General features: G+C 37.1%; 1 protein-coding gene across 2 annotated transcripts in view, besides 1 other annotated feature; it reads left to right on the forward strand.

The window, feature by feature from the left end:
* Positions 1-14053, forward strand: part of USP14 (ubiquitin specific peptidase 14) — a 56073-nt gene that overhangs the window by 14801 nt on the left and 27219 nt on the right. Inside the window, exons 4-5 of one of the 2 annotated variants that reach the window (NM_005151.4) lie at positions 5576-5680; positions 6879-6982. In NM_005151.4, the coding sequence (NP_005142.1) occupies positions 5576-5680; positions 6879-6982 (209 nt within the window). The remainder of the gene's footprint in view (positions 1-5575; positions 5681-6878; positions 6983-14053) is intronic. The other variant, NM_001037334.2, reaches the window with a different exon arrangement.
* Positions 12616-13117: an enhancer, noted in NCBI's record as "H3K27ac hESC enhancer chr18:185973-186474 (GRCh37/hg19 assembly coordinates)". NCBI's record gives its function as "activates a minimal SCP1, AML or CMV promoter by ChIP-STARR-seq in primed H9 embryonic stem cells {active_cell/tissue: H9 hESC(primed)}" and the evidence as "EXISTENCE:reporter gene assay evidence [ECO:0000049][PMID:30033119]".

The raw sequence follows: 14053 nt of genomic DNA on the forward strand, positions 1-14053 counted from the left end.
GCCTTGGCCTCCCAAAGTGCTGGGATTACAGGCTTGAGCCACCATGCCCGGCCTATATTGTCTGTTTTTTTGAGACGGAGTTCCGTTCTTGTTGCCCAGGCTGGAGTGCAATGGCGTGATCTCAGCTCACCGCAACCTCCGTCTCCCAGGTTCAAGAGATTCTCCTGCCTCAGCCTCCTGAGTAGCTGGGATTAAAGGCATGCACCACCACACCCAGCTAATTGTTTGTATTTTTTTTAGTATGTTGTTGGTCAGACTGGTCTCCATGTTGGTCAGGCTGGTCTTGAACTCCTGACCTCAGGTGATCCGCCCACCTCGGCCTCCCAAAGTGCTGGGATTACAGGTGTGAGCCACCGCACCCGGTCTATTATCTGTTTTGAGTAAATTCTTGTGTTTGCTGTTAAGCAATGGTTGAGGTTATTTTTTTCACATGAGTATTTAGTGAGCAACATTTGTTGAAAAGACTATTCTTTTCCATTCTTCCTCAGTGCCTTTGTTGAAAATCAGTTGACCATAAACATAAGGGTTTATTTCTGGATTCTGTTTTCTTCCATTGATTTTTATATGTACCTTTGTACCAGTACCCATTCCCTGCTGTTTTGATTCTTCAGGCCTTGAAATCAGGTCGTCTAAGTCTTCCAGTTGTTTTTCTTTTTTAAAGTTGCGTTGGCTATTCTGGGAACTTTGTACATCTATTGCACATTTTTAGATTCTGCTTGTCATTTTCTCCATAAGAGTCTGCTGGGATTTTGATTGGAATTGCATTGAATCTGTATGTCAGTCTGGGACATCTCAATATTGAGTCTTCTAACTTACAAACATGGTAAACCTTTCCTTTATTTAAATGTTCAATGTTGGGACTTACACATATTTTGTTCCACATATTGTTAAGTATTTCACGTTTTTCTTTCTTTTTTTTTTTTTTTTTGAGACAGTCTTGCTCTGACGCCCAGGCTGGAGTGCAGTGGCGTGATCTCAGCTCACTGCAGACTCCGCCTCCTGGCTTCAAGTGATTCTCCTTCCTCAGCCTCCTGAGTAACTGGGATTATAGGCACTTGCCACCATGTCTGACTAATTTTTGTATTTTTAGTAGAGACGGGGTGTCACCATGTTGGTCAGGCTGGTCTCAAACTCCTGACTTAGAGTGATCCACCTGCCTTGGCCTCCCCAAGTGCTGGGATTATAGGTGTAAGCCACTGCACCCGGCTTATTTCATGGTTTTTAATGTTGTCGTAAGTGGTACTTTTCTTTCTTTTTTTTTTTTTTTTTAAAGACGAGGTCTTGCTTTGTCGGCTGGAGTGCAGTGGCACAATCATAGCTCGCTGCAGCCTTGAATTCTGGGGCTCAAGGGGTTCTCCCACCTCACCCTCCTGAGTAGTTGGGACTATAGGCATGCACCATTGTGCTTGGCTAATTTTTTGTTTTTGTTTTTGAGACAGAGTCTTGCTCTGTTGCTTGCCTAGGCTGGAGTGCAGTGACGTGATCATGGCTCACTGTAGTTTCTGCCTCCCAGGTTCAAGCAGTTCTCGTGCCTCAGCCTCCCGAGTAGCTGGGACTACAGGAATGTGCCACCACGCCGGACTAATTTTTGTGTTTTTAGTAGAGATGGGGTTTTGCCATGTTGGCCAGGCTGTTCTCGAACTGGTCTCAAGCAATCCTTCTGCCTTGAGCTCCCAAAGTGCTGGGATTACAAGCGTGAGCCACTGCACCCAGCTGTGGTGTTTTTGAAATGTCATTTTCCAATTGCTTGCTAGTATATAAAAATAAAGTTAATTTTTATAATTGACTTTGTATCCTGTGACTTTATTTCATATATTAATTTCTTAGGATATTGTTAGGTATACATGTCATCTGCAAATAAGGACAGTTTTATTTCTTCCTTTTTAATCTTTGTGCATTTTGTTTCTCTTTTTTTCTTTATTGCAATGCTTAAGACTTTAAACAATGCTGAGTAGAAGTGGTTGATAGTGGACATCATTGCCTTTTTCCTGACCTTAGGGGAAAAGCCTCCAGTCATGGCTGGTGGTAGTTTATAGATGTTCATCATCAGGTTCAGGAACTCTTTCTAGTTTGCTGAGAGGTTTTGTCACGAATGGAAGTTGAATTTTGTCATTTTGTTAAATGCCTTTTCTATATCATTTCTTCCTCTCATTTTATCCATTAAACTACACAGACTTTTGAGTATTAAACAGAACTTATATTCTTGGGATAAACCCCACTTGGACATTATATATTGCTAGATTCTATTTGCTTATCTTTTGTTAAGGTTTTTTGTGTCTCTTTTCATAAGAGATAATGGTTTGTAGTTTTCTTGTATTCTTTTTTATCTGGTTTTGCTATCAGTGTAATGTTAGTCTTATACAGTGAGTTAGGAAGCATCCCCTCTTTTCTGAGTTTGTATTAATATTTTTTCTTCCTTTTTTATTTCTGCTCCCACTCCACTGGGATATTTTTTCTTTAAATGTTGCCTAAAATTCTCTAGTGAAGCCTAGTTCACTAGACTTCATGTGGGTTTGGAGTTTTCTTTGTAGGAAGACTTTAAGAATTTAGTGTCTTTAATAAATGTAGGACTATTTAGATATTATGTTTTCTTTCCTATCAGTTTGATAATCAGTATTTCTTAAGGAATTGGTTCATTTAAGTTGCTGAATTGATTGTCATATTCTACTGTTATTACCCTTTAACTCTAGAATGTGTAGTGCTGCTTTTTCGTTTTCCTCTCTAGTATTGGCAAATTATGATTTGTCTGTTTCCTCTATCATCAAGCCAGAGTTTTGTCAGTTTCATTGATTGTGTCCCCCCAAAAAAAAAACATTTGGCCTGTTCATTTATTACTTCGTTTATTTTTTCTCTTTGCTTTCTTTCTTTCTACTTCGGTTTTAAATTTTTTAAAATTTTGAAAATTTTTATATAATCATATTTTGTTGAATGAAGTGCTGAAACCCAGGCAAATGGTGGTGACTTTTTTGGTTTGTTTTAGAGATGGGGTCTTGCTATGTTGCTGAGGCTGACCTTGAGCACCTAGGCTCAAGCAGTACTCCCACCTTAGCCTTCCGACTACCTTGGACTACAGGTGTGTGCCACCACACATGGCTTGGTTTTAATTTTTACTTTTTCTAGCTTAAGGTAGAAGCTTACCTAGTTCATTAATTTTAAGCCTTTTTTTAAATCTCTTTTGCTCATTTTTGTAGTATGTATTTGCTTTTTCTTATAGATTTGCTTTTTTGAGTGCTTAGTATATATGGTATAGTTTTGCCCCTAGTTTATTGTTTTCAAATGTTTTATAGACATTTTTAAGATTTGTGTAGCTAGTTACATCAATTGTTAATATTTATGTCAGTTTTAGAAAATCTTCCAACAATGCATGAGTTTTTTGATTCACTTGCATTCTTTTATGAATATTAATTTTTTTACATTTAAATCTTTAATTAATTGTTGTTGTGGTATGGTATGAAGTAGAGAGCTGATAGTATGTTTTTTCTAAAGTATACAGTTTTTCTCAATATTTTTCATTGTATAATCCCTTTTCCTAATAATTTTTTAAGGGCATTGTTTTAGTCTCTATTCTTTTTCAGAAATTTCTTAGCTATTATCCTGGGTATAAATTTGCTGCATGAATGAATCATTTTGCAAGGTTTTGTAAAGGAATTTCATTAAATTTATATAACTATAATTGCATCTTTATAGTAATTTTTCAAGTCCAGAGCTTGTCATGTCTTCCAGTTTATTTAGGTGCTTTTTTTAAAAATATCCTTAAGTAAAGCTTTATTCTCTCATTAAAGTATTACATTTTTCTTGTTATGCTTATTCTTAGATATATGTTGGCATTTCTTCTATTGTGTTTTCCAACTGGTTATTGCTAGTGTATTCTTTAAATAGTTGGCTCTTGAGACAGTTGTCTTTGGAAAAAGATTCTTGGCCTGGTGGGGTGGCTTATACTTGCAGTCCCAGCACTTTGGGAGGCTGAGATGGGGGGATCACTTGAGGCCAGAAGTGTGAGGCTACAGTGACCTATAATTGTGCCACTGCACTCCTGCCTGGGTGACAGAGTGAGTCCCTGTCTCTAAAAAAAAAAAAAAAAAAAAAATTCTGTAGTGATGGCTTAGTACTGCTTTACTGCTTTGCAATGATCTTATAAAATGTCTATGTAGAAATAAAAGGTGATAGAATAAAGGTCATTAAATTTAATTGTAGGTATTCTTAACTGAACTAATTTCCTAATTTTAATCATCATCTGGATATTTTTAGTCTTCTGGCTATCATTTTTCCCTCCCTGTTTTTTTTTTTTTTTAAATCTCCACTTCTGGTCCTACCTTTTACTTTGTCTCATGTGTTCATGCCTTCCAATTAAGATACTGAGTAAGAGAGTAAGATGTTATTCATATTTTAAGATTATGAGCTTTACAATGACAGTGTCTTCCTTGTCTTTCTATTGATTGTATGGAGTGTTTGCATATGTATTAAATAAAAGTATTTACTTAGGTTAATGTGTAGAATTATATAATTGGATATTTTGAACAAATTTACTCTGTATTTGGTTTGATATTTTTTAGTAATAGAGAATTTAATGCTCTAAAAATATTTGTATTTAAATGTAAACAATCACTACAGTTACACAATAGACATTCACAGAAATAATTTTATTAGTGTTTGTTTGTTTGTTTGTTTGTTATATTTTTTGAGACGGGGTCTCCCTCTGTCGCGCAGGCTGGAATGCAAGTGGTGTGATCACAGCTCACCACAGCCTCAACCTCCCAGGCTCCAGTGATCCTCCCATTTTAGCCCCCAAGTAGCTGGGACTACAGGCATGCACCCCTATGCCCAGCTAATATTGGTATTTTTTGTAGAGATGGGATTTCGCCATGTTGCCCAGGCTAGTCTTGAACTGGACTCCAACCATCCACTAGCCTTGGCCTCCCAAAGTGCTAGGATTACAGCATGAGCCACCATGCCTGGTCTGAATTTTATTAGTTGTAAGTTTGTTATGGAGAGAGATAATGCCACTAAATGTTAATGATCATTTGAGGAATTCCCTCTGCTTCAATATTGTAAACATTATTAGGTGTTTTTATGGCAATACTTATTTTTTCCTTAAGCTTTATTCAGGTACAATTTATATAGAGTAAAATTCACCTGTGTTTGATGTACAGTTTGATGACTTTGGGCGATTCTATATTGTCATGTAACCACTACCACAATCACGATTTAGAAGTTTCATCACGAAAAAGTTTCTTTGTACACCTTTGCCTTGGCCTCAAACAGCCACCCCAGTGCTTTTTACTTGTTTTAAACAATGCAGTGATTTTTAGTAGTGTATTTACAGAGTTGTGCAGCCTTCACCACAGTCTAATTTTAGAGCATTTCCATTACCCCAGAAAGAAACTTGTACCATTTAAGGTCACTCCCTCTCCCCATCTCCAGTCCTAGGCAGCAACTAATCTACTTTCTGCAGATTTACTTTTTTTGGCAAATAGAATTATGTTATATGTGTTCTTTTGTTCCTGGCTTCTTTTGGTTTGACATAAACATTACCAACTTTTAAGGATTTTCATGAAATTACTTTTTTTAAAAACAGGGAATGACTCTACTAATGATGGGGTCAGCAGATGCTCTTCCAGAAGAACCCTCAGCCAAAACTGTCTTCGTAGAAGACATGACAGAAGAACAGTTAGCATCTGCTGTAAGACACACCAGATTTTATGTGTTTGATCACTACTTTTTGAAGGACCATTATTAAGGTGTCTTTCAGAAAGTAGCATCTGAATGTCTTGAAGACTTAATCATTAATACCAAGATAGATATTTTTAGCAGTAAATAAGAGTTTTATTATTTTTGATTAGCTTAAGGGAGTCCTTCTGTAGTTAAATAAGGCACAGCTAGGGGTTTTTTTTTGTATTGTACACCTTACTACTGGTTTTCAGACTTCCAAGTGAATTTACTTAGGCTTAACTTACATATATTTAGCTAATATCTGTAATAAATATGTTCCTGGCAGATAGTACTATATAAGTATTTACTATTACTATTTTATGAGAAAACAGGGTCAAAGAGTAGTTTAAATGTTGGGATATTTAAATTTTTAAAATCCTTCATGTGGAAAATACATACATTTTATCCTGAATTTAAATGCAAAATCAGTTTAGAAACTGGTCAACACGTGTCAATTTTTTTTTTAACACCTAGCATTTATTTAGTGCCATTCATTCATTTTCATGGTTTTTTTTTTTGCTTTTTTTTTTTTTTTCCTTGAGATGGGGTCTTGCTCTGTCACCCCGGCTGGAGTGCAGTGGTATGATCATAGCTCACTGTAACCTCAACTTCCTGGGTTCAAGTGATCCTCCCACCTCAGGCTCCTGAGTAGCGAAAATTGTAGGCGTGCACCATCATGCCCAGCAAATAAAAAAAAAAATTTTTTTTTTTTTTTGTAGAGATGGGGTCTTGCCGTGTTGCCTAGGCTGATCTTGAACTTCTGACCTCAAGCAGTCCTTCCACCTCAGCCTTCCAAAGTGCTGGGATTACAGGTGTGAGCCACTGTGCCCAACCTGTTATTTTGCTTTTTGTTTTGAAGTGTTTCTTTGCATATTTTGCCTATTCTCTTCTCTTGATAAACCTGCAAAAAAGGCAAGACTAGTATGATTATTCTCTTATTATATTTAAGAAGGAAACTAAAACATAATATGATGGCCAGCATGATCCAAGTAAACTTTTTTTTGGGGGAAATAAAACTGTTTCTTTAGCGTGAAGGCAGAATATAAATTGGTAGAAGCTAGTAAATGGTACTTGATTCAAAATGAGAATTTTAGTGATTTATATATGCCATGTCATTTTGTAAAAATGGTTTAATGATTTAATCCTTTTTTTTTTTTTTTTCCAACTAGATGGAGTTACCATGTGGATTGACAAACCTTGGTAACACTTGTTACATGAATGCCACAGTTCAGTGTATTCGTTCTGTGCCTGAACTCAAAGATGCCCTTAAAAGGTAAGACTGCAGTCTTTTTTGGGTAAGGGATGTTCACATTTGGATGAGTAGTATTGTTTTGTTTTGCTTTCTTTAGCATCTTAATTGAGATATAATTAATTTATTATACAATTCAGCATTTTAAAGTGTTTAATGCTTTTTATAGTATTTACAAGTTTGTGCAACCATCACCACCATCGATTTTAGGACATTTTCCGCCCCCTCCAAAAGCAGTGTCGTACTCACTGGCAGTCACTCCTTTAACCCCTTCACCCACCTCTAGCCCTAGCCAACCGTTCATCTACTTTCTGTCATAGATTTGCTCATTCTGGGCATTTCATGTAAATTGAATCGTATAATATGTGGCCTTTTTGCGGCTAACTTCTTTCATTTGGCATGTTCCCATGGTTCATTCAGGTTACAGCACACGTAACACCTCATTCCTATTTTATGGCTGAATAGTATTTCATGGTTCACTCACGTTACAGCACACGTAACACCTCATTCCTATTTTATGGCTGAATAGTATTTCATGGTTCATTCACGTTACAGCACACGTAACACCTCATTCCTATTTTATGGCTGAATAGTATTTCATGGTTCACTCACGTTACAGCACACGTAACACCTCATTCCTATTTTATGGCTGAATAGTATTTCATGGTTCATTCATGTTACAGCACACGTAACACCTCATTCCTATTTTATGGCTGAATAGTATTTCATGGTTCATTCATGTTACAGCACACGTAACACCTCATTCCTATTTTATGGCTGAATAGTATTTCATTTTATGGATATATCACATTTTATTTATCCATTCATTTTGTTGATGGAAATTTGAATTGTTTCTCCTTTTTGGCTGTTATGAGTAATGCTGCAGTGAACATTCATGTTTTTTGTGTAGATGAACGTTTTCATATAGTAACTCTATGTTTAATGTTTTGAGGAACTGCCACAATGATTTTCCAAAGTGACGGTACCATTTTACATTCTCACCAGCAATGTGAGAAAATTGCCAATATTGTCTGTCTTTGATTAAGCCATCTAGCGCTATGAAGTGTGGTATCTCATTGTGGTTGTCATGCACATTTTTTTTAGTGGCTAATGATGTTGGGCATCTTTTCATGTGCTTATTGGCCATTTGTATATCTTCTTTGGAGAAATGTCTGTTTAAATCTTTTGCCTGTGTTTTAATTGGGTTATTTGTCTGTTTAAAAATTCAATTGTGTTTTTACATATATACAAGTTCCTTACCCAATGGATAATTTGCAAATCTTTTCTTCTATACTATAAGCTGTCATTTTACTTTCTTTTTTAAAATTTATTTTTTTCCTAAGTCTGTTGTATGCAGTCTCCTTTTACTTTTCTTGATGGTACGTTTGTAATGCAAATGTTTTTTAATTTTGATGTAGTTTAATCTTAATTTTAATTTTTTCTTTTATCACATATGCTTTTGGTTTCATATGTAAAAGCCATTGTCTAATTCTAGGTTACAAAGACTTACTTCTTTGTTGTTTTTCAAGAGTTAATATACTTTTAGCTCTTCTATTCAGGCCTGTGGTTAATTTTTATGTATGGTGGGAGGGAGGGAGGTATTTGCCTATTATTTTGCATGTGTATATCCAGTTCTTCCAGTATCATTTGTTGAAGGCTATTGTTTCCCCACTGAATTGTCTTAGCACCTTTTTTGAAAGTCAGTTGACCTTAATGTATAGGTTCATTTCTGGACCCTGGATTCTTTTCCATTTATATATATGTCTATCCTTATGTCAGTCAGTACTGGTTTCAAAAAAGAAAGAACATTTTGTTTTTATACCATCGTATGAAAGGAAAAGAGTAAAGAATTAATTACAAATGTTTTGAGAACCTGTAAAATGGTCTACAAATAAGGGCCCTTTCTTCCGGTGAGTATAAGTGTAACTTAAAAAATATGTAACTTAATTCTGACTAAATTTATACAACTGTCTTGATACATAAATTGTCAGTTCTTTATGATAGAATTCTGAACTACAATTTGGATTCTAGACAGCTTTATGAATATTGATTTTTGTTTTTTCCCCTCAGTCTATTGTGAAATGTTGTGATAGAACTGAGCAGAAGAGAAGGGAGAGAAGGAGTGTGCAAAAATCTGAAAGAGTGACTTTAAAGGTTTTCTACATTTCTCTGAAGCGAATAGTTGTCAGGTATTTATGAGAAATTGCATAGATTGCAGCTGATATATTATCAGTGAACAAGACACAGTATCTGTCTTCAAGGCACCTACAGTCTAATAGAGAAAGACTATCAAGTAAACAGGTACTGTTTCAGAACTGCTTTGATGGGAAATGTAGGCTGCTATGAGAACATCTAAGGGAGTTCATCAGGGGTATCTGAGGATAGTTTGGGAAGACTTCTTAGAGTAACTGGTATTTAAACAGTTAGGTGTTATCCCAGCCTGGATGAGAGGTTAGGGAAGTGTGAGAGTGGACTGGAGGAAAGAGTTTTTAAGCAACAGTCTGGAGGCAGGAGACTGCAACATACTCAGTGCAACTGCCTGGAGAAGGATGGATGTAGAAACGGTGATAGATGGGAGATTAGCAGGGGCCAGCCAGAAATCTTGAAGTCGTTTTTAAGAAGTGTGGACTTCGTGTTGTGGGCGAAGAGAAACCATTGGAAGATTTTAAGCAGAGTACTGACATTCAAATTATCCTCTGAATTCTAGGTAGCTAAGATTATTATTTTATTCTTCAACAGTTTTTATTTTAATTTTGCTTAAAAAATTGCCTGGTGAATCTTACTGTGTCTTTTATATATATCCCAAAATATTGCTTTATTTTACCCTTTCCTCTTATCCTTGGATGATAATATTGCTTGGAGCAAGAGTCTAGGTCAAAGCCATTTTTCCTCAGTGATTGGTAGTTATTTGTCCACTATTTTTGTGTGTCCATGCTTACTGATGAGAGGTCTGATATCAGTCTTGATTTTTATTCTTTTCTGTTAGTAGCTTTTAGGGTTTTCTCTTTTTTTTTTTTCTTTCCCCCAGTTTTCCAAGAATGTGAGACTGTGGGTTTTATTTATCTTATAAAAGTACTCAGTGAGCACTTTTAGTCTGAGGACTCTTGTCGCAAACTCTAGGACATTTCTTGGTCATTATTTCTTTAGGTACTGCTTCTCCTCCACCTGGTTTCTTATACATATTAAAATTTCTAGATCTGTTTTTTAGTCTTCTAACTTTCCTCCGTGTTTTAAATTTTTATAATTTTTATGTGATGTGCTCTAGGAAAATGCCTCAGTTCTGTCTTACATTTTACTGATTCATACGTCTACTTTGTTTCACTGCTTACTTATCATGACCTTCTGTTCTTTTTTATAACTCCTTATTCTTAATTTTTGGATCTAAATCCTGCTTTTATTTTTCTGAGGCTCTGAAGTATTTTTATTTAAAGGTTTTTTTTTTTTTTCCTTGTTGTTTGGCCTTTTAACTCTGTTCTTTTTGGATGTAAGGGTTGTTCTTCCCTCATTTGTTTAAAGGTTGTGTGCTCATATCATGCAACCATATTCTCTTCCTTATGTCCCAGTTGCAAATTATCTGAATAGGTAGTTTGCTGGGGTAGCTTTCTGGCTAGCACCCTTGGGAGTGGCTGATGGAGATAGCCTTGGCTCACTTCCAAGATTTCCTCTTTACTGTTTTCTTCTTGGATGCCTTTTAGCCTCTGTTCCTGAGAGAGTGCTCTTTTATGTTTTGGAAAGAGTTCTGTGTAAGCAGGGGAGATTTCATCCTATGTGGTTCTATTTTCCTGAAACCAAAAGAAGTATTTTTTGTTTTTCCTTTTTTTAAAAAAATAAAAGTGAAAGTTACTTTTTTCGCTTTTTGGTTTTTATTTTTAGTATTTTTTCTTTTTTTTGTACAGCAACCTCTGATGCCAAACAAAAGAAGTAGTTTTTGAATTCTAAATTTTCTCAAGAGAGTGCACTTACTAACGTAATTGATACAAGATGTCATGGATGGTGGTATGTCTTTGGAAAAATGGCACTAACTGATAAAACAAGAATGAAAGAACAGAAAAACATTCCACGAGAGGTGTTTTACAGCTGGAGATGAGGAAGACCATCCTCACAAATACTTAGCAGAACTTGTCTTTGGCAGGTTCTATAGAGTGGGAGGTATGGGTCCCGAGTGTGATGGCTCACGCCTGTAATCCCAGTACTTTGGGAGGCCGAGGCAGGTATCTCACTTGAGCTTAGGAATTTGAGACTAGCCTCGGCAACGTGGCAAAACCCCACCTCTACAAAACAGACAAACAAACAAAAAACCAAAAATTAGCCAGGCATGGTGGTGTGTGCCTGTAGTCCCAGCTACTCAGAGGCTGAGGTGGGAGATTGCTTGAGCCTGGGAGGTCGAGTCTGCAGTGAGCCATCAGTGTGCCACTGCACTCCAGGCTGGGTAATAGAGTGAGGCCCTGTCTCAAAAAATAAAATAAAATAAAAAGAGAGTGGGATGTATAATGATGGAGGGTAGAAGGAAAGTGTGTTCAAGAGAAATAGACTGGATTAGCTTAAGAGGCAGTAAGGATCAAGAACTATAGCCACAGGTGAAAATAAGGTTTGAAATGGCTTGCTTAATGCCGCCCAACAGTGGAATCCCATCATACTCCTGGAGTTAGATTCTCAATTTAGAACCTAGAGTGAAAACTATATGTTATAAAAAAATCATCCTAAAATTCTATAAATTACTCCTCAAAAGACAGTATCACATGGCCGTATCTGTTGTATTGGAGACTGGCAAGCCCCAGCTCTCAATATACACAGCGTTAACAGTTACTAGGTTGCTGATTTTCTTTCATTTTTTTTTTCTTATTTTTTATTTATTTATTTTCGAGACAGAGTCTCACTCCCTCACCCAGGCTGCAGTGCAGTGGTGCGATCTCAGCTCACTGCAGCCTCTGCCTCCCGGCTTGAGCAATTCTTCTGTCTCAGCCTCCCAAGTAGCTGGAATTACAGGTGTGTGCCACCATGCCTGACTAATTTTTGTATTTTTAGTAGAGACGGGTTTTGCTATATTGTCAAGGCTGGTTTCAAAATCCTCACAAGTCATCTGCCCGCCTCAGCCTCCCAAAGTGCTGGGATTACAGGTGTGAGCCACTGTGCCTGGCTGAAAATATTTGTCTGTTAACACTAGCGTCTCATTCAGTTCAGTGAGATGCTCATATTATGAGAGGCATGCAAGAACTGAGACACTCGGAGAGAACAGAAAAGCCCCATATCTCATCTCACAGCTGTCTAGGGGATATGTTCATTGAGTGGAATTGCATGTGGGATTGCTTACACTACTTAAATTATTTTCTTTTTTTTAGCTTTTTGAGGGCATGTCTTCATTTAAAATTTAAAAAAATTTTAAATTATTTTTTATTTTTTGAGACAGGCCCTCGCTCTGTTGCCCAGGCTCTGGAGTGGCACGATCACAGATCACTGCAGCCTTGACCTCTTGGGCTCAAGGATCCTCCTGACTTGGCTTCCCGAGCAGCTGGGACCTCAGGCATGCACCACTATGCCCAGCTGATTTTTTTTTTTTTTTTTTTTAAGTAGAGACAAGAGATGGCTATGTTGCTCAGGCTGGTTTCAAACTCCTGGCCTCAATCAATCCTCCCAGCTCAGTCTGCCAAAATACTGGGATTACAGGTGTGAGCCACCACATCTGGCACACATATCTTCATTCTAAGTAACAGATTTCAACTTGTTCTTGACAAAAAAATTTTAAATAACAGAAAAGTCTACATATTTGATATTCACTTTTTCTCAGCCATCTTCTCGGCCCTTATGTCAGGATATGATGAAAATGCATCATACATTTAATTCATACAGATTGAAGATGTGCCCTGGGCTGGATGTGATGGCTCATGCCTGTGATCCCAGTGCTTTGGGAGGCTGAATCTATAGCTTGAGGCCAGAAGTTTAAGACCAGCCTGGGCAACATAGTGAGACCCGCATCTCTGCAATAAAAAAGAAATAGCTGAGTGTGGTGGTGTGCACCTGTAGTTCCAGCTACTCATGAGGCTGAGCTGGGAGGAATGCTTGAGCTCAGGAGTTTGCAACTGCAGTGAGCTGTGATGATGCCACTGCACTCCAGCCTGGGCAATGCAATGAGACCCTGCCTCTTAAAAAAAGAGATGGGCCAGGAGCAGTGGCTCATGCTTGTAATCCCAGCACTTTGGGAGGCTGAGGCGGGCAGATCACCGAAGGTCAGGAGTTCAAGACCAGCTTGGCTAACATGGTGAAACCCCGTCTCTATTAAAAATACAAAAATTAGCCAGGTTTGGTGGCAGGCGCCTATAATCCCAGCTACTCGGGAGGCTGAGGCAGGTGGGTCGCTTGAACCCGGGAGCAGAGGCTGCAGTGAGCCGAGATTGCACCACTGCACTCCAGCCTGGGTGACAGAGGGAGACTGTGTCTCAAAAAAAAAAGAGAAAGGGATGAAGATTTGCGTTATATTTGGGTTTTTTCTTTAAACATATGTGTAGCAGTGTATGTGTTTTTTTATAACCAATTCAAACAGTCTTAAATTTGTGCTCATGTCTTTGTTTTTATGCTTACATATTAACAATTCTGCAGTACATCTTGATGCATAGGATTCTTTGGATCAATTTCTGGAAGTGGAGTTAGTGGGTTAATAAATTAGAGTGGATAGTTTGACCTTTCAGATATTGGCAGTTGTTATCCCAAAAGGTAGAAAAATATGAATGCTACATTCTGTACATATTCATCAATGTAAAATATTATAATGATAAATATTTTTTGACTACTGGTAAGATTGAACTACTGTTTACTCGTGAGTTTATTGGTGACTTACATTTCTAAGGTAAAAATCTAGGTTTCTCTTTTTTCTCCCATCACCATTTATTGTATATTGATACACATTGATCTTTTATCATATGTATTATTATTAAATATTTTTGAGACCTGTTCCTAGATTTTCTAACTGGGTTTATTTATTGAGGTCTGATTTTCGATATGTGTTTGTATTATGCCATTTTAACCATCTGGTGTGTAGTAATGCATACTTCTTACTTTCAGTGTATTACTGGATAGTTTGATCCATATTTTACATATCTT

Source organism: Homo sapiens, chromosome 18 (genome assembly GCF_000001405.40).
Source record: "Homo sapiens chromosome 18, GRCh38.p14 Primary Assembly".
In the NCBI taxonomy this organism is placed as follows: domain Eukaryota; kingdom Metazoa; phylum Chordata; class Mammalia; order Primates; family Hominidae; genus Homo; species Homo sapiens.